The sequence below is a fragment of the Homo sapiens genome, chromosome 20, assembly GCF_000001405.40.
Source record: "Homo sapiens chromosome 20, GRCh38.p14 Primary Assembly".
Lineage (NCBI taxonomy): Eukaryota > Metazoa > Chordata > Mammalia > Primates > Hominidae > Homo > Homo sapiens.
The window spans coordinates 45171206-45193055 of NC_000020.11; the positions used below are offsets into that span (position 1 = coordinate 45171206).

The following is a 21850-nucleotide window of genomic DNA, read 5'->3' on the forward strand; positions in this document are numbered from 1 at the left end:
TGGAAACAGCAGGCAAGTTTATCCACTACTGGTGGGATTACAATATGGTACAACCCCTATCAAGGGAAATATGGCAATATTATCAAAATTTCAAATGCATTTCACCTTTGTATAAGCAAATATACTTCTGGGAATCTGGTTCACAAGAAAGCAAGCTAAGAAAGGCCACATGTGGTATAGTTTGTAATGGCAAAATATTGGAAACAACTTGCGAGGGTAGCAATGTGGGTTTATTGAAAGCTAAGGTAGTCTATAAATGATTCGCTCTGCAGCTTTCTCTCTCTCTCTCTCTCTCCAAGCAATCAAAGAACTAGAACATTACTAATAACCAACAACTTAAATCAACCCGTGTCCTTCTCACCCATCCAGAATGTTTTCTTCTCTCGTTTCCAGAGTTAGCCACTATCTTGTATGTCATTTTTATAGTTTTTTCATTTTTTATGTATCCCTTTTTGAGCTTTGCTTCATATGTAAATATGCCTAGGCAATATATTTCCCAGTTCTCCTTCATTTGAGTTTTATGACAAGTGGGTAATTCTAAATATTGTCACTGTGGACTTGTGTTGTTTATTCAACATTATTTTAATTATGGTCATATTGTGCATGGCTGTAATTCAGTTATTTTCATAATTGTATAATACTTCCTTGCATTAATATGTCATGACATATTTATGCATTAATATGTCATGACATATTTATCCAGTATTTTAGTATTGGTAACATGGACTGTTTCCAGTATGTTATTGTTAAAAACAGTACTTTTATGAACATTATTGTGCATGTTTCTTGGTAAACATGTGGAAATATTTTCCTTAATTAAATCTTTAGGAGTGCAATTGCTGAATTATAGATTGTGTACACATTCAATTTTACTAGCTGATGTCAAACTGTTTTTAAATGTTTCACCAATATAGACTCTCATTAGTAATGCATAAAAGTTTCTTTTCTACTACAAATCAATAAGAAAAGATAAACAACCCATTCAAATCTAAAATAAAAGTTGAAATTAAATAAATAAGTAAATAAAAGGTAAGATACTTGAATTGGCACTTCACAAAAGAGGATAGCCAAATGGATAATAGAAATATTAAAAATGGGCCGGGTGCAGTGGCTCATGTCTGTAATCCTAGCACTTTGGGAGGCCAAGGCAGGTGCATCATCTGAGGTCAGCGGTTCGAGACAAGCCTGACCAACATGGTGAAACTGCAAAATATAAAAATTAGCTGGGCATGGTGGCATGTGCCTGTAATCCCAGCTACTTGGGAGGCTGAGGCAAGAGAATCACTTGAACCTGGGAGGTGGAGGTTGCAGTGAGCTGAGATTGTGCCATTGAACTCCAGCCTGGGTGACAAGAGCGAAATTCCATCTCAAAAAAAAAAAAAAAAAAAAAAGGAGTATTAAAAATGGGTCAGCTTCACCAGTTATTAGGAAAGTGTAAATTCAAATCACAGGAAATCCCACAAGATGTCCACCTGAATGGCTAATGAAAAGGCAAATCATATGAGGCATTGGTGAGATTATGGAGCAAATGGAATGCTCACACATTGCTGATAGCAGTGTGAATTGGTACAATGATGTTGGAAAATTGATTGCAGTATTTATGACAGCTGGATGTATCTATACTCTGTGATCTGTACTCTGTGATCCAGCAATTCCATTCCTAACCATATATCCAAAATAAATGCATACCTATGTTCTGCAAGAGATATGTACAAGAATATTCATAGCAACACTATAATAGCTAAAACCTAGAAATATCCAATGTATATTGACAGTAGAATGAATATATAACATTTTTGGTATTTTTCATAGAATACTGTACAGCAGTGAAAATGATGAACTACAGGTGTAGACTTCAAAATGGATGACTCTCAAAAATATAATGTTGAGCAACATAAGCAGGACATATGAACACTATACCTTAGATTTCATTTACATACAAATTGAAAAAGTATACTAAACTGAATATATATTTCAGAATACAGACAGAAGTGGCATAACTATAAAGGAAAGCAAGGGCTAATTACCATAAAATCTTAGGAAGCAGTTATCTCTGGGGAGGAAGGAGAATGAAGCAACTGAGGAGAGGCATGGAGCATAGATATAGCAAATATTCTCCTCCTTTACCTGGCAGCTCATTTTAATGCTATTCTTTAAAGAATATAGGTATTTTCTGTGAGCTTTTTATTTGTTTGTATGGCTTATTGTACAATGAGCTTTTGTGTAAGGTAGCCAAAGGCTTCCACAGTCTGACATTCGTTTATGTCTCCCTCAGTTTCAGGCTTGGTGGGCATGTGGTCAGAGTCTAAATCGACAAGGGGTGGGGATTTCACCAGCTGAATTAGTGTCCAATAATTAGTTTGTTACCTTCCCTGCCTTAACTCCACCTCAACTCAGTGACTTTCTTAACTCAGATTCTGTCCCTGACAATACCCAACTTCAGGATATTCATTTCTATTACTCAGAACTTTTGGTAACAATGACAGAATAGTAAGTCAGACTAGCTGAAGCAGAGGGCTAATTTATTGCCTCATAACCCAACCATGAGAAGGGTGTGTGAAGAACTGCTCTCAAGGTAAAGGAGGGAAACCTGGCTGTGTCATCTGAATCTTCTCTCACCATCACTTCTCTCCTTGTCTCAGTGTATTAGAGTCGTTTTTCTCAGACAATTGATCTCCACCCCCAGACTTAGATAACCACTTCTGGAATTCCCTGGTTCATATATATCACCTTTTCCAGAAGAAGGAACCCCCGTTTTCCCCTTTCATTACTCATTCAAATAAAATATGTTAATAGACCAGACCAAGTCTCACACACAACACACACACACACACTCACACACACACACACACACACACACCCCTACCTGTGGTCAGGGGTCAGGCTTTCATGATTAGCAGTCCCCATTAGACTCACAAGTTGATGGTTCAAAGAGACAACAATTCTTCACAAGAAACAGGGTGCTGTTCAAAGAAGTGGGGAGGCATGCTGGACACACACACTGTAGATGTCCAATGTATACATGATACATGTTTTCTACTACTTTCTGATTATTTTCTCCCTACCACTGTGATTTCAAGGGCATCATCCCTCTTCAGACCTAGAATTCCACCTTCCAATTACTTTCTTGATGCATCTGAAAGGCCGTCTCTGAAACAGCAAAGTGCAATAATTAGTCATTATGTATTCAAGGCAAATTTGTCTTACAGAGTTTTTTGCAGGACCAGGGAAGAAGGAAGGAAATGCCCAGTTTGATGCTGGGAGTGGTAAAATGATAAAGTAGATCTGGGTGGGGTTTGTAGCACCAGAGCATAATGGAGAAACACCTTGGTTTTGTAATCAAGACTGGATCTACCAGTGACTTGCTGAATAACCTTCGGTGATTCCTTTCTCTTCTTGGGTCTCACTGTATTTCAAAACATGAAGAATTTCATTGTAATGTTACCTAATAAGTGAGCCAGCACTTCTACTCTGTGAGAAAGTAGGAAAACTCTTGGGACAATCAGAGATGATGTGATGTAATGTCCATTAGTTCTTCCTGTGAATAATCCTGAGGGAAAGCCCCCAGGTCCCTCCCAGAATGGGGTGGATATTTCCCAATACAGCTAAGGAATTATCCCTTGTAAATACCACAGACCCGCCCCTGGAGCCAGGCCAAGCTGGACTGCATAAAGATTGGTATGGCCTTAGCTCTTAGCCAAACACCTTCCTGACACCATGAGGGCCAGCAGCTTCTTGATCGTGGTGGTGTTCCTCATCGCTGGGACGCTGGTTCTAGAGGCAGCTGTCACGGGAGGTGAGTGAACAGGTGACCTGCTGGGCTGGGTTGGACTAAGGGGAGACCCTCTGGGACACCCTGGGCCAGGACAGGGAGCACTTCTGAAGCAGTAGGCAGCACTGGAGCCCAGATTTCAGCTTTCTGTTCTTTGCCATCATATTCAGAAAAAATAGGACTTTGGCTGGTGGACTCCACGTGCTTTCCACCTCAGTGACTGAGATATCAGGACTGTTTGTGGAAGTAATGTTGGTATGTGGCCTTGGCCTCAGATGTCAATACCTGTGCAGAATGTGCAATAAAATAATGAACTCCAGGATTTTAAACCTTGGGTGTGGACACAGTCCCCCGTTTCTCTGCCCCATAAAAGCACTGGAGTAATCAGTACTCTAAAAGGAGGTTAAGAAACAACAAGCCTTCAGGAATCATGTTGTTTGAGGACCCCCATTTTATAAGGAGGGAACCAAAAATGTAGAAATGAGTGAGCAATTGCCAAGGTAATTCCCAGAGCCAGGATGGGGCTCAAGTCTCCTAGTATGTGGCTCAGGGTTCTTTCCTACTCCAATGCACTTCCTAACAAATGACAATGTGTCCTCTTCACTGCTGGGTGTCACCCCAGTCTGACCACTGCTCCTGAGAGACTTGGAGTGGAGGAAGGGGGAAGAAACAAATACTCAAGGGAACTCTGGTCCAGTAGACCACCCCAAAAAAGGAAGAGCCTTCCAAGAGTGTAGCTCCCAGAGGTGTACCTTCCCTACTCAGGCCATGGTTTGAGGATGCTGCAGTAAGCAGTGGATGGACCCAGACCCAGAGGAAAGACATGGCAGCTGAAGCAGAGGCTTACTGGGTATAAATGTGGGCTCGTTTCTTCTTTTAACAGTTCCTGTTAAAGGTCAAGACACTGTCAAAGGCCGTGTTCCATTCAATGGACAAGATCCCGTTAAAGGACAAGTTTCAGTTAAAGGTCAAGATAAAGTCAAAGCGCAAGAGCCAGTCAAAGGTCCAGTCTCCACTAAGCCTGGCTCCTGCCCCATTATCTTGATCCGGTGCGCCATGTTGAATCCCCCTAACCGCTGCTTGAAAGATACTGACTGCCCAGGAATCAAGAAGTGCTGTGAAGGCTCTTGCGGGATGGCCTGTTTCGTTCCCCAGTGAGGTGAGCACTAGCTGGAGAACGAGGAGACCCCTGAAGACACAAAAGAAGGCTGAGCGGTGGGGAAGCATCCCAGGTTGGTGGGAGGGAGGTTGTGGGAGGTGACAGAAAGACTGGGAGACTGAGGGGTCTGAGAGGCTATAACCAGAGTGCCTAGAAGGATGATCTGTCTTCCTCACTGCCTCTGAGTGCTTTGATGTGCTGACTCTCACCTCTGATACTCTTCTCTTCCACAGAGGGAGCCGGTCCTTGCTGCACCTGTGCCGTCCCCAGAGCTACAGGCCCCATCTGGTCCTAAGTCCCTGCTGCCCTTCCCCTTCCCACACTGTCCATTCTTCCTCCCATTCAGGATGCCCACGGCTGGAGCTGCCTCTCTCATCCACTTTCCAATAAAGAGTTCCTTCTGCTCCACTTGTTTCTGGTTCCTATGACTTCTGGGCTCCTGGATGCTTTGGGGAAATGGATGTAGAATTGGGACTTCTTCTCTCCAGTGAAGAGGGGAAACGGTCCCATGGTGAAAGAGAGCAGGGCGGGGGGAGGAAACAGGAGGCACATTGCTAGGGCTTCATATTACAAATCCAATAATCAGCCCCAGTGCTGCCAGCTCCTTTTCACCAGGAAATGGAAATATGGAAATCTTGCCTTTGGCCAAGGACCAGGAAAAACACAAAACACAAAAAATAAATAAACATTACATAAACCATAAGCAGGTCTTTTTTTTCCAATCCACCATCAGTCCTGACCTGGCTACTGTCGGCCTTACCAGTGTGACCAGCCAACCCTTATGGCTGCAACTACAGCTCCCCACTTCCTTCTCATTAATGTTTCCCAGGAATCTATATCTTTTCAACACCACATAGAAAGGATGATGTTACAGATGCTGCGAAACTCCTGCTCTTTAGAATTTCACTGGTTTATGCCTGAGATTCCTCCATGAAGTAGCATTCCTTTAGGTTAAGCAATATTCTCTTCCAGATTTCTGTTTTAAGATGTGAATGAGGAGGCAAGATACACTAAGTCCTTCATACTATGGTGTCAGAGGTTTGGGTGAATAGCATTCTCTGGAGACATACATGTTGGGGGCAGGGCAGACTTGAGTAGTGGAGAAAGGGGCAGGAATATGAGCAACCTCATGGCTCTCCTGTTGACCCACTCGTCCCACTGCGATTGCACAAGGAAACTCTCAGAGAAGGCCACAGCCCCCAGGAGGGGAGCAGCCTGGGTGAAGGGGAATAAGCACAGGCTTGACAGTCAGGTGATCTCAGCACTGGCTTTGCCTCCCCACGTATTGGGTGACCTCTGGCAAATGTATGTCCCCCTTCCAGGCCTCAGAGGTCTATTTCAGTTGAGGGGGTAAGGTATAATTATTCTGCAAAGGAAGGTCTAATCCTGCCACTCTGGGATATGAAACAGCTCTTCTTTGTGTATTGGGTTCTTGCTCTGAGATGACATGGGGAGCAGAGGCTTGGGGTGAGACAATGTGGATCCCTGCACCACTTTGCCCCATCCACGAGCATCTGAGCCATGATTTTTCCCTATTGTTCAGAGGCTAGTCCGAACAACTGTAGGGCTTTGACACTAGGGTGTCTTGGAGTACAGGTGACAGCAGTACCCAAACTTCTGGCTTGACAAATACAAAATACATCATTGGAGGAAATAATGGTTTCTGTTTTTTAATATTTACTCTATTTCCTATACCTAGTAGATTACATGTATTGTCACTTATTTTTCATAAGTCCCTTTCAGATGGCCATTATACATATTTTATTTTCTAATTTTGTAAAAAGATTGAAGCTAAGAGAGATTAAGTAACCATTAAAAGCCACAAGGTTAGTAAGTGATAGTAAATGATATTTTTATTATATGCTAGCAACAATCAGTTAGACATGCTGCATTTTCTATTATTAATATCAACAAAATCACACCATTGCTATAAATAAACAAGAGAGAGGCAGAGCTTTAGAAGAGAAATCTATGTAACTTTTCAGAGGCATATAAAAATGCTTGAATATACACATACTCACAATACATGAATATGCACATATCACAATACATGAAGACTATGTGGTGAAGATGTCACTATTTACTCAATATTTAATATTTATTTAATTTATCCCTAAGGTGTATTATACCCAAAATCCATTTTTAATATGGTGTGGTTATGGAGGTTAAGGGAACTTGAAACCATACTTAAGTTTATGGGGAAGCATAAATTCTTGTGAATAGGCGTAGATGTTTACAAATGAAGATTAACCCTAGGGCTCTGGAACCTCCTAGACTTAAAAAAAAGTTTTGCAAAGTAACAATAATCAATATGTTGTTTTTATTAGAAGAATAGTCAGGTTGAGAAATCAATAGAAAACAAAAGAAAACCCAGAATCAGGCCTCATTATATCTAATTCAGGTAAAGATCAATGTCAAGTTCCAAAACAATGAAGAAAACTTGAATTTTTTAAGAAACAAGATTCAGACGGTAGGTTCACTATTTGCAAAAACAAAAGAACTAACTCTGGTCTGAATTCAGGCAAAGATTAAGCCACTGAGAGAGAAAAATTGAAAGGTTCCAAAAAGACACTTTCTTTTCGCTCAGGAAGCAGGCCAGGATGACAGTCCATGCCTAGCAAGGTAGCTGAGCAACTCAAGATCTCACAGAGACCAGTGGTTTCTTCCATCCAGGATTTGCTGTGGAACAGAGACTGTAATTCCTTTCATGTTCAGTCAGGCAGGGACACATCTCCCAAGAAGACCCTGCCATTTGGAATAGTCCTCTGACTGCAGTAGGAGAGGGTGGAGCTGATACTGGGCCCCTCAGGATCTGCTGTGGCACAGTGGCTGGAGATCCCGATCTCATTGGCTTAGAAGGAGTGCACATCTTCCAGCAAGTTCCTGCGGAGACGTAATAGTTTCCTGATTCCAGCAGAAGGAGCTGAAGCTGGGAATGGCCCCACCTTGGGATCTGCTGTGGGATGGAGGCTGGAGAGTCCATCTTGTTGGCCAAGACAAGTACATATCTCCCTGCAAGTCTCAGCACCGAAAGGATAGTTCAATTACAGCAGGAAGTGTCAGAGCTGAGACTGGATCCCATCTCGACCTGCTGTGCAACAGAGGTTGGCAAGCCTGTCAGGGAGGCTTAGGATCTTAGGCTATGAGATATGTGTGAGTCTCCCTCTGGGTTGTTGTGTGAGCAGCTCTGAGCTGGGACCTCAGCTGATGGGGGCTGGAGCTGAATCACAAGGCAACTTTCAGATTCACTGCCCAGTCAGTGAGCAGAAGGGCCTTTCTGCCAAAGCCCTAGTGTATGTGATTCATTCTGGACCCCACAGCAGATGGGTTTGATTGCAGGCTCAAGGCCAAATGTAACCAAACCCCTGAATGGGCCATTTCTGGGATTGAACTCTGGAGCCAGCTCAGTGGATCAGCCACGTGGGTGTTGGTCTGCACTCTCAATATGACCCTCCAAGGTCTTGGGCTCCACCAGAGTTTCACAAACTTCCCCCTGAATCCAGATCCAGAGGCTCCCACAGAGAGACTTTGGACTGTGGATGAGTGTAGAATTCTTGTCATTCTGGTGGGACATGAGCAGGTGCCTTCTATTTCACCATCTTGGTTATGTCATTCCTTCCTCAGCAGTTTTTTTGGTCGATTTTGCAAAGCTTTAAGTTTTACAGTGGGGCTGGAAATAGCAGGAGAGTGTGAGTTCCAGCCCTGGGATTTGTTGTTTGCTCCCTTTTCACTGACAGGTATTTTGTATTTTTGGCATTCTTTGTTTTCAAGTTATGTTGAGGATGTGGTTTTGTTTAGAAATTTCTTGGTGGTGGTGTTATTTTATACCTCTTGGGGTGGAGATTGTGGAAGTTACTTATTCTTCCTCTTCTGCCTTCTATTGTCTTCAACTACCCCAAAAAAATCTCCTGGAAACTACTCTCTGAAAGAAGTTGGAGAAAAATTATTAATGCACTTGAAGAAGATCAAGAAAAAAGAAAGCGTGAGTAATGTTTTGGGTGAGTTTGAAAGAAGCTATTTTTCTTGCTTCCATTTCATTGCTTCCCTCTGCAATAATTCCGGGTGTGATCCATGCATTGGATGTGTCCTCTAGACTCAAACCAGATTTCAAAAGCAGATATGGGGTACCAGTTCTCCTAACTTCCCAAGCAATGAGAGGTGCTGTTACTAGGGAAGACAGCCTTGTCCAAGGAGTGCTGGAACCAGACAAGGGCTTGGAGACCCAAGGCCTCAAAGAGAGATACAAGGCCCCAACATGTTTCACTTTGCTGTCCCTGCATGGCCTCCCTAGAGATATTGACACCTGATTAACAAATCTTGAATGGCATAAAGGACAACAAAATGACTGTGGGGAGATGTCATTTCCCTCCTTACTTTATCACGATTGCACAGACCCCTGAAGGGAGAAATGCATTTCCTAATTTCACTCAGTAAGTCAAACCCAGAAAAGAACTGGTTCTCTGATTCCCAGACATGGGTTCGTTGTACAATTGTCTGAAAATAGCTGACTTGATCAAATTGTTTCAAATGTAATTTCTATAATTCCAATTGATGCCTCAGTATTTGTCTCCTAATACTTGGAGTCTTTCATTGTTTTCCAATTGTTTAGAATTTCAAAGGAAATTATTAATTAATAGAAATAAGGAATTCACAGCATGATGAGGGCCCAATTTGGGAGATGTGACTTTGGACCAAGTATCTTTTTTTTTTTTTTTGCGACATCTAAGCTTGGTCCTGCCCACCTAGGAGGCTGTGTAACTGTGCAGAGAAGGGAGTCTTTCTACCCACGTTAACTTATCCAGCTTCAAGTCCCTTCCAGGTACCCTCTGTCCTCCGATTCCCTTCTGGAATTCAGGAACAGGTAGTACTATGTCACCTCCCAGACCTAAGTCTTACTCCTAACAGACCTGGATAAGTTCCCTGTTCTCACTAACCTCAGTAACACCATCTGGAAAAGAGAAGGCCTAAGCACGTGGAGTTTTTGAGCCCCTCTAATAGAGCCTCCAAACTACCTAGAGCAAGCTTGTCCAACTTGTGGCCTGCAGGCTGCATGTGGCCCAGGATGGCTTTGATTATGGCCCAACACAAATTCATAAATGAGTTTCTTTGTGATTTTTTTTAGCTCATCAGCTATCGTTAGTGTTAGTGTATTTTATGTGTGGCCAAAGATAATTCTTCCAATGTGGGCCAGGGAGGCCAAAAGATTGGACACCCCAGGCCAGGCGCAGTGGCTCACGCCTGTAATCCCAGCACTTTGGGAGGCCGAGGCGGGCCGATCATGAGGTCAGGAGATCGAGACCATCCTGGCTAACACAGTGAAACCCCGTCTCTACTAAAAATACAAAAAATTAGCCGGGCGTGGTGGCGGGCACCTGTAGTCCCAGCTGCTTGGGAGGCTGAGGCAGGAGAATGGCGTGAACCCAGGAGGCGGAGTTTGCAGTGAGCCAAGATTGCACCACTGCACTCCTGCCTGGGCGACAGAGCAAGACTCCAGCTCAAAGAAAAAAAAAAAAAAAAAGATTGGACACCCCTGACTGAGAGCTTTCTAAGGAGAAATTTGACTATGTGGGCAACTTTTGGGAGGAAGTCAGAAGAAGGGGAAAAATGACTGGATTTGGGGTCCACCTGGCACATTTAAGTCCTCTAAAATGCCATTTGAGTGAGTCACAGTGGCTTAATGAGCTTAGCAGACATCAAGTTTTCAATTACAAGAGAAGACATATATTCTCTGCTCTCCTCCCTTTGTTTCCACCATCTGGATCCAATAATCCAAAACCCAGCAGGGTTCTGGCTTCTTGTCTGAGGCCAGCAGCCCTCTGCTTGTCCCTGAGGCTTTATGGTGATTCCCAAGACGGAACGATAGAGCAGCCACTGGTCAGCCTCAGGAAAAATCAAGCCACTTCTCATGCCCTGTCTAGAACTGAGACAGAGAGACTCTCCTCCAACCAGTCATGTGGGTCAGCCATCTCAAGGGTAAGCAGGTGTCAGCCCTAGGAGGTAAAAACAGGCACCTAGTGTTTATCAGCTCTTAGCATGTCCCCTGATTACACAGCCTTCCATCCAATTTAGAACAGGAAGTACCCCTTGACATTATCACGAACCACCTTCTCACATTAAGGAGGAGAAAACTGAGTCCCAGAGAGGAGAATGAAGGTCTTTCAGTCACAGAGTGCTCCGTAGCCTTGCTGGGCCTAGAACTAAGATGTAGCGCTAACTTCCTAATAAGGTCACTTTGATGGATCCACTTGATCTGGGCCATGAAAGGTGGTCCATTGGATTGAGCCTGACAGCCTAGAGTGATGGAACAGCATAAGGTAATGTGTGAAAGCAAAAACAAAGAGAAGACACTGCAGATGGAAGCAATCTGGCTGAGATAATTTTCTACAACTCTGTGACAAGTCAGCTATTCTCAGTGGAATTTTCAGCACCCCCTTATTCTCTCATTTTAATTATCTTAACTTTCTGTATTTTTTATTCTTATCTCACACGTTTCAATAAAATAGCTTTATAGTATCTTTTAGCCTCTTTCATTGTGGAAAGGGCTGTAGGAGTTTTAGAGACAATCTTTCTACCTCATTCATTTTTACGTTTGTTAGAACTGAATTCCAGAGATAGGAAAGAATTTGCCTAGTTTTTAGCAAATCCACTGTGATACCAAAAAAAAAAAAAAAGCCATGGAAGGCCAGGTGTGGTGGCTCATGCCTGTAATCCCAGCACTTTGGGAGGCCAAGGTGGACGGATTACTTGAGGTCGGGAGTTTGAGACCATCCTGGCCAACATGGTGAAACCCCGTCTCTACTAAAAATACAAAAATTAGCCAGGCATGGTTGCAGGCGCCTGTAATCCCAACTACTCAGGAGGTTGAGGCAGGAGAATTGCTTGAACCAGGGAGGCGGAGGTTGCAGTGAGCTGAGGTCGCGCCACCGTATTCCAGCCTGGTGACAGAGCGAGACTCCATCTCAAAAAGAAAAAAAAAATGCAAAGGAAACATGATGAATTCTGAACTTGTATTTAGTTTTCAGTGAGATGGTAGAGGTTTCATATTGATTCAGATGTTAACCTTTCCCCAGTGACTGCTTTTTAATACCGTTTGCTTCCTTTCTTATTGGATTGTCCAGATTATTTCAATCTATTTGTAGGAGTGCTTATTATTTAAATATGATTCACTATTTGCTTTTATACATTAACAAATATTTTTCTGGTGAGTTGTTAACTACAGTCATGGGTCACTTAGTGACAAGTGATATGGTCTCAGAAATGGGTTGTTAGGTGATTTTGTGGCTTAGTTATGCAATGCATGATTTTATTCTTTTCCTTTGCTTATATCATATTTTCCCTTCCAAAGATTATCAATTTTTATAAAGTCAAATTTTTATCATTCTCAGGAAATCCTCAAATCAGCATTTTACAAAAAAAAAAAAAACAAAGAAAAAACCAAAAACCTCACCAGACTTTTAGGACAACTGGAGTCTTGGCGGTCCACTCTATGATGTTCTTGTATCTTGCACCTTGCAAGAGCATCATAAGGTGGACTTACAGGAACCTAGATGTATAGCTTACTACACAGCTAGGCAATATGGTATAGCCTATTGTTCCTAGGCTACAAACCTGTACACTATGTTATTGTACTGAACAGTGTAGTCAATTGCAACTCAATGGTAAGTACTTGTGTATCTAAACATATCTAAATGTAGAAAAGGTACAGTAAAAATATGGTATAAAATATTTAAAAATAGCATACCTGTATAGAGGACTTACCATGAATGCAGCTTGAAGGTCTGCAAGTTGATTGGTCTTGTGAATCATTAAGTGAATGGTAAGTGAATGTCAAGAACTAGGACATTGCTGTCCATTACTGTAGACGTAAACATTATACACTTAGACTACACAAAATTTATTTAAAAGTTTTCTTTCTGCAATAATAAATTAACCTTAACTTAGTATAAAATCTTTATACACTTTTTTATTTTTAATTTTTTCACTCTTTAGTAGTAAAATTTAGCTTAAAACACAAACACATTGTACAGCTACCCAAAAATATTTTAAAAAAATCCTTATTCTATAGGCTTTCTTCCTTTTAAATTATTATTTTTTCCTTTTAAAACTTTTTTGTTGGCCAGACATGGTGGCTTATGCCTGTAATCCCAGCACTTTGGGAGGGCGAGGCAGGTGGATCACGAGGTCAGGAGGTCGAGACCATCCTGGCTAACACGGTGAAACCCCGTCTCTACTAAAAAATACAAAAAATTTGCCGGGCGTGATGGTGGGCGCCTGTAGTCCCAGCTACTCAGGAGGCTGAGGCAGGAGAATGGCATGAACCTGGGAGGTGGAACTTGCAGTGAGCCCAGATCCTGCCACTGCACTCTAGCCTGGGTGACAGAGCAAGACTCCACCTCCAAAAAAAAAAAAAAAATACAAAAAAAACTAAGACACAAACACATAATAGCCTAGGCCTGCACAGGGTCAGGATCATCACTATCACTGTCTTCCACCTCTACATCTTGCCAGGATCATCAATATCACTGTCTTCCACCTCTACATCTTGCCACACTGGAAGGTCTTCGGGAGCAATAACACATACAGTTGTCACCTCCGGTTATAACAATGACTTCCTCTGGAATACAGACTGAAGAAACTGCCTGGGACTGTTTTACAGTTGAGTTATTTTTTAATAAGTAGAGGATGGACACTATAATAATGATAAAAAGTATAGTATAGTAATTATAGTAACATAGTCGTTTACTATCATTCTGAAGTATTATGTACTGTGCATGATTGCATGCTATATGTTTATATGACTGGCAGTGGAGTACACTTGTTTACTCCAGCATCACCTCAAACATGTGAGTAGTGCCTTGTACTGTGACATTACCACAGCTATGACATTACTAAGTGATAGGAATTTTTCAGCTCCATTATAGTTTTATGAGAGCACCATCACATATGCGGTTCGTTGCTGACCAAAACATTGCCTCATGCTGGAGAAGAGTATCCGAGCATAGTTGCTGCTTCGAGTCACTCCAGGGAGATCTAAAATTCCAGGTGGGAGCATTGTGTCTACTGAGCATGTTTAGAGATGGGAAATAATTTGCCTAAATTTGTGATACAGGAAATGAAATGATAACATGATAATTTTTAACTTGTGTTTAATGATGAACAAGGCGGTACACTTTTCATATTGATTCATGTGTTAACATTATTTTTCCCTGTGTACTGTCTTTTCATACCCTTTGCTCTTTTTTCTACTAGGTGTCCATAATATTTCAAGTGATTTGTAAGAGTGATTCTTATACAAAGAAAACCCAACTCTTGCTCTCATACATTTAAAAATTTTTTTCTGGTTGGTTGTTAACCATTGTTTTAGCTAGATTATATATTTTAACCTTACAAAGTTTTTCAATTTCTATAAAGTCAAAATTTTTAAAAATTCTTACAAAAATATTCTCCAGTTGGGTATTTTACCAGAAAAATAAAAATTCGCCAGACTTTGAGGGTAGCTAGAGTTATGGTGTCCTTGTGAATGTAAATCTCCCAAGGTATTCTTATAAAGCCATATCATTACACAGAAGAATGAGAAAACCTCAGAAACATCATTTCTTCAGCAAAATCTGAAGTCAGAGAACAGTAAAAACTTCAAATTATACAGAAAGAACATCTGATTTTCAATGGAGAGCTCTCTTGAACTTCTGCCTCTACCCTTTTCAAAGGAAACAGTGGGGTCCAGAAATATGTGTGTAAAGAATAGGAGAGCCTATGATTGAAATAAACTCATTCCCAGGAGGATGTCCACATATGAAAATACAGAGAAAGAGTCCTGGAGGCTCAGAGCATTTGCTAGACTTTCTGTGTGCTGGTGTGCAGTCCTTGCTGCTGTTAACACTTTACTAGGGTGCATTTGTCACAAGGAATGAACCAGTATTGATACATTATTAACTAAAGTCCAGACTTTGTTCATATTGCCTTTGCTGTTACCAAGGTTCTTTTTGTTTCAGGAGCCCATCCAGGACAATGTGGATTATAATTAGTGGTCATGTCTTCTTAGGCTCCTCTTGGTTGTGACAGTTGCACACATTTTCCTTGTTTTTGAAGACCTTGACAGTTTTGAGGAGTACTGCTCAAGTATTTTATAGAATGTCCCTCAACTGAGATTTGTCTGATGTTTTTCTCATACTGGGGTTGTGGTTTTTTGGAGGAAAACATCAGAGGTAAAGTGCCCTTCTTATCATGTAATATCCAGGGTACTGACTTCAACATGATTTACTGTTGATGATGTTGACCTAGATGACCAGTCTGAGGCAGTGTTCGTCAAGTTTCTACACTGAAAAGTCAACTTTTCCCCCTATCCTTGCATACTATACTCTTTGAAAGGAAGTCACTGCACAACCATATGTAAGATATTCCTTAAAGGGGAAGTATCTAAATAAATTGTTTGGAATTATTCTATAAAAATGATAATTATAATTATTGATGTCAGATAATTGTTTATTATCCCTCATTTATTTACTTACTCAATTGTTTATTTATATCAGCGTGGATTCATAGATATTTATTACATACATTCGTTATAACTTGTTTTGTTGCTGAAACAGTAAGAAGGACGCTTTTGAACATTAAAAGCCACAATTCTCAGTAAAGATATTAGTTATAAGTATGTAAGCACTATATAGCACAGAAAACACTTTATAAAGAAGAAAATATGAGATACACCAAGGAGATATAGATAAAAACACAGTAACAGTAGGAGAATTGAACACACTGTATTGGTATAAGACAAACCAAGTGGACAAAAAAGTAAACAAGGATACAGAGGACACACCCAGGCCTTAAATACTTATATCAACAAAAATGAAATAAGAAGTGTAAATAAATCAAATTTTCAACAAAAGAAGAAAAAGAGAGAATAAGGCCAAAAAAAAGCAATAATAAAGATAAAAGCAAATTTTTGAGGTCAAGAAGAGACAAACAGTAGCTCTAATTAATAGATTTAAATGTTGTTTTTGAAAAAATTACAAAATAGGTGAACCATTTGCTGCTATAGTCAAGATGAAAAGGAGTGAAGAACAGCTAAATAAAATCAAGTATAATGGAGGGAATCACCACCAAAAGAGGGAAAAAAGAAAGCCCTGAGACTCCTTTGTAGACCAGGTTCCTTTCTCACCTCCTGGCTGCTGTGCTGACCCCCAAGGTCCTGAGGATGAGGAGGCTGAGCAAGGGACAAGGCCACTGGTTGTCATCTGTCTGGGCATTGGGTAAGGGCTCCTATTCTGTGTCTTCCCTAACATACAGCAGGGGCTGTGGATTTCAAGGATCATGGTGAATAATGTTTTAGCTTTACTAAGCAGGGCTCCAGACAAACATCATAATAATTAAAGGGCAGACTCTCTAAGTAGCATGTCTGCTTAGTCAAAAGAAGAGATTTATTCTAAATTTTTAGCAGGATACCCTGTCCTGAGTAGGGCATAGTTACACCCAGGAACGAGAATGTGAGTCCTACCACCAGGTAAGCCACTGACATCAGCAGTGATCGTAGCTGAAGGTGGGAGACTTTAAAATGAGAATACAGGAGGGTGATGATGAGAACCAGCTGCCACCCACACAACAACTGCAGAGGCCACAGCTGTTGTGTACCCCCTTCCCTTCCACCTTCTTATGGTTTATCTCAGAGGGAGAGCCCATCAGAGCCTGGGAGAAGCTTCCCAAAGTGTGTGGAGCCCGGATCCCAGCAGTGCCAGGGGTGCACTGTGGCTGACAGAGGTACTGCTTGGATGCCCCTTCAAGGAGCACCTTGTTGCCCAGCTGCATGGAGTGTGGTTAGTTAATTGCTGCCAGCCACTGCTCGACCTCAGGCACAACCTCAGTTTTTGAGCTGAGATCACACAGAACCAGGGCCCTCCAGCCAAAGGCAAAGTAAGGCTGTAGTATGAGATTCTACCCTTCATGCCCAATGTTGAACTTCTCTTATAAAAAAATTCTTGCTCTTGCTCTTGCTCCAGAGCTTCCTGTTGGGCTGACAGAGATGTTGTCAGGACAGTTTGGCAATGGCATCCTTTGCCTAATACTGCTTCCTCACCTTTACTTTCACAGGTGTGACCTCACAAGGCAACTTGCATTCTTAACTCTGTCTCAGCCCCTGAGAACCCTGAGCTTGTTGGATAACCCAACCTGCAAAACACAGCTCACAGATTTCTGAGAAGCCTGAAGATTCAGGATCAGGACCATAGTAAGATATGAGTGTCTAGGTAGCATGACAACAGCCAGAACCACTTCTCAACAATTGTGTGATGTGTACACAGCTGCTGCAGTCCTGGACACTCATCACTGCCACCCATGACTCTGGAATTGGGTATTGCTGTGGACAACAATACTACTTTGTTCTGGGAAAGAATGCCCCTTCATCCTTGCTTCTTTGAGTCACTCAATGGAGATTCAAGGTGACATATGGGAACATTACATTTGCTGAGCATGTTTGTGCAGCCCTAGGCCTCAGGGGTGAAGGAAAGTGCCCCCTGTTTTGTTCTGTTTTTGCAGTAGGAACCCAGCTCTGTCACTCAGCAAGTCTCAAAGATGGCCTTAAATAGGGAGATCCCACAACATAACAAGGGAGTTCCACATAGTGGACAGTCAAAAGCATGGACACATCTCCCATACCGTGGATCTTCCTAGGGTTCCAAACTCCCCTTGAAACTTACACATTGGCAGGTATAAAGTGAACAGCACAATTGTTCACCTCTGGAAATAGAAGGGCCACTCCCTAATCACCATGGAAATATTCCTAAGAATGTGCCTTTTCTTATTGGGCAGAAGGCCAGATATCTTTTTTTATCAGTTTTTTCAATGGCAGTAATTTATTTCACAAGGTCACCTTTAATGGGCCTGACCCATTTTTCTGCCTATATTTTAATCACAGGCTGTATCTTCAGCTTCTCCACACTAGATGATACCTTATCCTCCCAGCCTACTGTTCAGTGTTTTTATGGGCACGCTCATTCCTCAACAATACTGGTCCCACAGTATTTTTCTCTCCAATCACAACAGAGCATACCACTGCTGCCTCCAGGCATGGCAACACCATGTCTGGCCACCAACATTGCCAAATTGGACACCACTTCCACTCTCCTCACTGGAAATAGATGCTGTAGCCATTTATGCCACTGCTGCCGGAGTAAACTCTCACTTCCTACCACCTCCATGTCTGCTTTTTTCTATCACCAATTCTCAGTCCATTGCAGTGTATACCTCTGACTGTGTGAACCGGTGCATATGCACATGTGGAGGCTGCCAAGAAGTCAGAGAAACAGGCATGTGGACTTTGCAGCTTCTGCTGGGAATGGTGTTTGTAGGCTTAGAGGCTAAGACAGGAAAGTTGCCCACACAACCATTCTCATCCCATTGTGAGCACTGGAGCACCTACTATGCCCCTCCTTTCCTTCACTCTGTGTTCTAGCCTCAGCTTATGACCTACAGTTTTAATCAACTGTAAAAAGGCAATGGAGATTGGCAATAGTAGGGACTTCACCGCCTCTTGCCTGGATTCTCTAATCCACTTACTTCCTTGAAAAGGCATTTACAATTCTGTAATCATGAGGGGAGATCAAGAATTATGAGAAAGATGAGAAGTTCAGGGGCTGCATGATATTACTGAAATTACACAGAGACTCTAAAATGGTAAATCAATGCTCAGAATTTGCATTGCAGTCAGAAAAGATATGGTTATTCTGGGATAGCTCCACTGCTACCATGTTCCTCCTAGAGGCACAATGTTCTCTAACAAAACAGTTTTTGCTGAGACTGGAAACACTGATAACATATTTGCAGGCTGTGTGTGCTCCATGGGGGTTGAAAGCGGGGATCACTAATGATAATTTTTGAACAACCTTCTTAGGCCTTCCTTGTCCAGTACCTCCTGGGATGGGGACACTCTGTTCTAGCTAGCCATGTGTGTCTGTCTTTTGGAGTCCAGAGTGATAAGCGTCATGCACAAGTACCAGGTGCTTCTCAGCTTGTAACAGATTCCAACTTTTCTTGAATTTGAAGTTGGAAACTCCCTTTGAAATATCCAGACAAAACCCCCCATCTTGTGGATGGGAAAACCGGAATCCAGGGATCCATCAAAGTTTAATCTAGAAATCAGGGGCAGAGCTGGGGCTGGGAACTATCTGTTCTAATATGATGTCATTCCCTTTGGTAGAATGTTGAAAAAGCAGGAGGATTCATTAGCCTTTCAAAAAAGACTAGTTGAGGGGTTAATTTGCCAAAAAGCACAGTGACAATAGGAATTCCAGGAAAATAGAATAATCCAAGCCAAAATGTGGAATCAAAGAAAAATATAGATTTGAGGAGACCCCAAAGAAGTCAGCAACTCAACTATAAAGTAACCCTCCACAATATGCTAATTCTGCCACCATCCAGGTCTTCCGCATCACCTTGGTGTTCTCACTTGCGGTGTGCCCACTGCACGAGCTTTCTGCTATTCTACTGCACATTCACAGCTCACTTGGAAGAAACTTTAGTAAGATTCTTGGAATCTTTCTCACAGCAGGAAGAGTCCTAAGAGACCGAGCTACTCCTTTTACAATAATTGAGACACAGACCGCTGGCAAATGAAATTTGCCCCAAATTTGGAAGACCATCTCATAGGCATGACAACAAAAGACTCATGTGTTTGTTTTAACTTGGTGTGGTTTTTTTTAATTATGGGGGTAGTTTTATTTATTTTCAAATATGTAGTAGCTACTTGCATTACTTTTTAATAAACCACATGTTCATGGTCTATGTTTATTTTTCTATGAGAAGATCTATTTTCCTTATTGTGTTTTAAAAATTCTTTCAATATATTATAGAATATCTCTATTCCCACCATATGTGTTTATACATTTTAAAAATTTCTGTTTTCTTACTGTATGCATGATTTTCCCTGTAAAACTTTTTATTTGCTTGTAGTTAATGATATTAATTTACTTCAGAAAATCATTCACGTGTAAATATTCTACAAAACTTGTCTCATGTTTACTTTGAATACTTTTATAGTTCGATCTTTATGTTTAAATCCTTGACCACCTAAAACGTACTTTGAAATAATGGGTGGAGTGGAAATCCAGTATTTACTCCTTGAATTGCCGGTAATCAGTCTAAACATCATTCGCTGAATTACTAACATTTCTTAAGTGATGTGGAATTCTGCCCTTATCATTTGTAAAATTCTCAAAGGCATTGAGTTTATCTTTTATTCCATTGAGATGTGTGCATTTTCTCACCATTAATGTATGTTCTAATTATGTTGACATATTTTTGTGATAATTTTGGTGGAATTAAAATGTGTCATGGGTAACTCTCCCATGACAATTTATCATCAATATTTTCCTGGAAAACCTCAAATGCTTACTTTATCAGTTGGTATGTTCAATTTCATTAATCATTGGATTTTTATCTCATGGGCTTCCAACTTACTCTTCATTGTTTATCACTAAAACCCACTAAAATCTCCATTTTTTTTTTTTTTTTTTTGAGACAGGATCTCGCTCTGTCGCCAGGCTGGAGTGCAGTGGCGCAATCTTGGCTCACTGCAACCTCTGCCTCCTGGGTTCAAGTGATTCTTCTGCGTCAGCCTCCTGAGTAGCTGGGACTACAGTTGCATGCCACCATGCCCAGCTAATTTTTGTATTTTTAATAGAGACAGGGTTTCACCATGTTAGCCAGGATGGTTTTGATCTCTTGACCTCGTGATCCGCCTGCCTTGGCCTCCCAAAGTGCTGGGATTCCAGGCGTGAGCCACCACGCCCGGTCTCCATAGTTTTTAAGAGCGCCGTTAGGCTGGATATTCCTTATACTCTGTTCCTAATACTGTCAGTTCCTTAGGGAGGACTTTGGAGCTCTCTATTCTTATAGCCTGCCTCTCACTTTTGGAAAATCACTGAGTTCCTTCTAAGGAGCTGTTTTGGAAAGAGTGGTTCACTTTTCTCAGAGTGACAGCCCTGCTTTACCAACTGGGCTCTGACCATGAGCCAGAACATCCTCTGATGTTGTTGGCAGGCATTCACTGGCATGAAAATTCTGCCTGGCAAATGAGCTGTGCCGAGGGCTATGGGGGTCTCAGCATTCTTGACCTACAATGCCTGGGATAGAACCTCTCCACTACAAGTAGTGTTGGGTGGAAGAATGGAGCTCTGTACCTCTTCATCACACTCACCTGGAATCTCTGCAATACAACCTTGGAATGGGTTTGAGAGATGCTGGCAACCTTTTGCCTCTGGTGAGATATCATAACCCTTTAAAGGGAAGTGAGAGGAAAGAGACTCTCCCATTACTTGGCTAGATGTGCCCTGAGTGAAGCTTCCCTCATATTGAGCTAGGATATAGAAAGTATAGAGTGGGTTATGACTCAAATGCTGTAGACACTCTGTGTTCTTTCAAGGTTTAGTAGAGTTTTAAAAATAAATGTATGCACTTAAGACAATTCCCAAAGACTTCAAGTGGCTGTTTTAAAAAATAACTTTTATCAAGTATGATTGTTTGGTTTGAGGGTATTTCCATGGATCTCCTTACACTGCTATTCCAGAGGAGAAGCCACCAGGTCACTCAACTCTTAGTATCATCTACTGGAAACTGGCTAAGACAGTATTTATGTGCTTCTCTCACAATAACAGGAAGATAACTATATCACACAATGGATATGGCAGTTGGCTTGACTGCAGTAATCATTTAACTATGTATATGTATATCAAAACATCATGTTGCATACCTTAAATATGTACAATAAAAATAAAATCTAAAAGAAATAAAATAAAAATAACTTTCACCAGCTGTGGTTGTTGGTTTGGAGTAATCCAAGGAACTCTTCACACCATTCCCTAGCAAGACTTGCCCAATTATTTTCTTCTTAATTTCAAAGAAGTCTATTTGGCTCTGTGAAAATACAAGTA

General features: G+C 41.5%; 1 protein-coding gene and 1 long non-coding RNA gene across 4 annotated transcripts, besides 1 other annotated feature; both read left to right on the forward strand.

Annotated features, from left to right (window-relative positions):
- Positions 3287-4486: an enhancer, noted in NCBI's record as "BRD4-independent group 4 enhancer chr20:43803133-43804332 (GRCh37/hg19 assembly coordinates)". NCBI's record gives its function as "activates an origin of replication core promoter dependent on BRD2, P300/CBP, MED14 and CDK7 cofactors, and independent of BRD4, by STARR-seq in HCT116 cells {active_cell/tissue: HCT116}" and the evidence as "EXISTENCE:reporter gene assay evidence [ECO:0000049][PMID:35650434]".
- Positions 3697-5339, forward strand: PI3 (peptidase inhibitor 3). Its single transcript, NM_002638.4, has 3 exons — positions 3697-3796; positions 4656-4931; positions 5165-5339. Exons 1-2 carry the CDS (start codon positions 3718-3720, stop codon positions 4928-4930), a joined length of 354 nt encoding a protein of 117 aa, NP_002629.1. The 5' UTR covers positions 3697-3717; the 3' UTR covers position 4931; positions 5165-5339.
- A 3442-nt stretch (positions 5340-8781) lies between these two features.
- LINC02597 (long intergenic non-protein coding RNA 2597) lies at positions 8782-19699 on the forward strand. 3 transcript variants are annotated; one of them, NR_187568.1, is made up of 4 exons: positions 8782-8929; positions 13842-13973; positions 15949-16180; positions 17016-19699. It is a non-coding gene; the product is annotated as a long intergenic non-protein coding RNA 2597 (long non-coding RNA). The 3 variants fall into 3 exon arrangements; NR_187567.1 differs by lacking the exon at positions 13842-13973; NR_187566.1 differs by lacking the exons at positions 13842-13973; positions 15949-16180.
- Positions 19700-21850: the final 2151 nt, after the last annotated feature.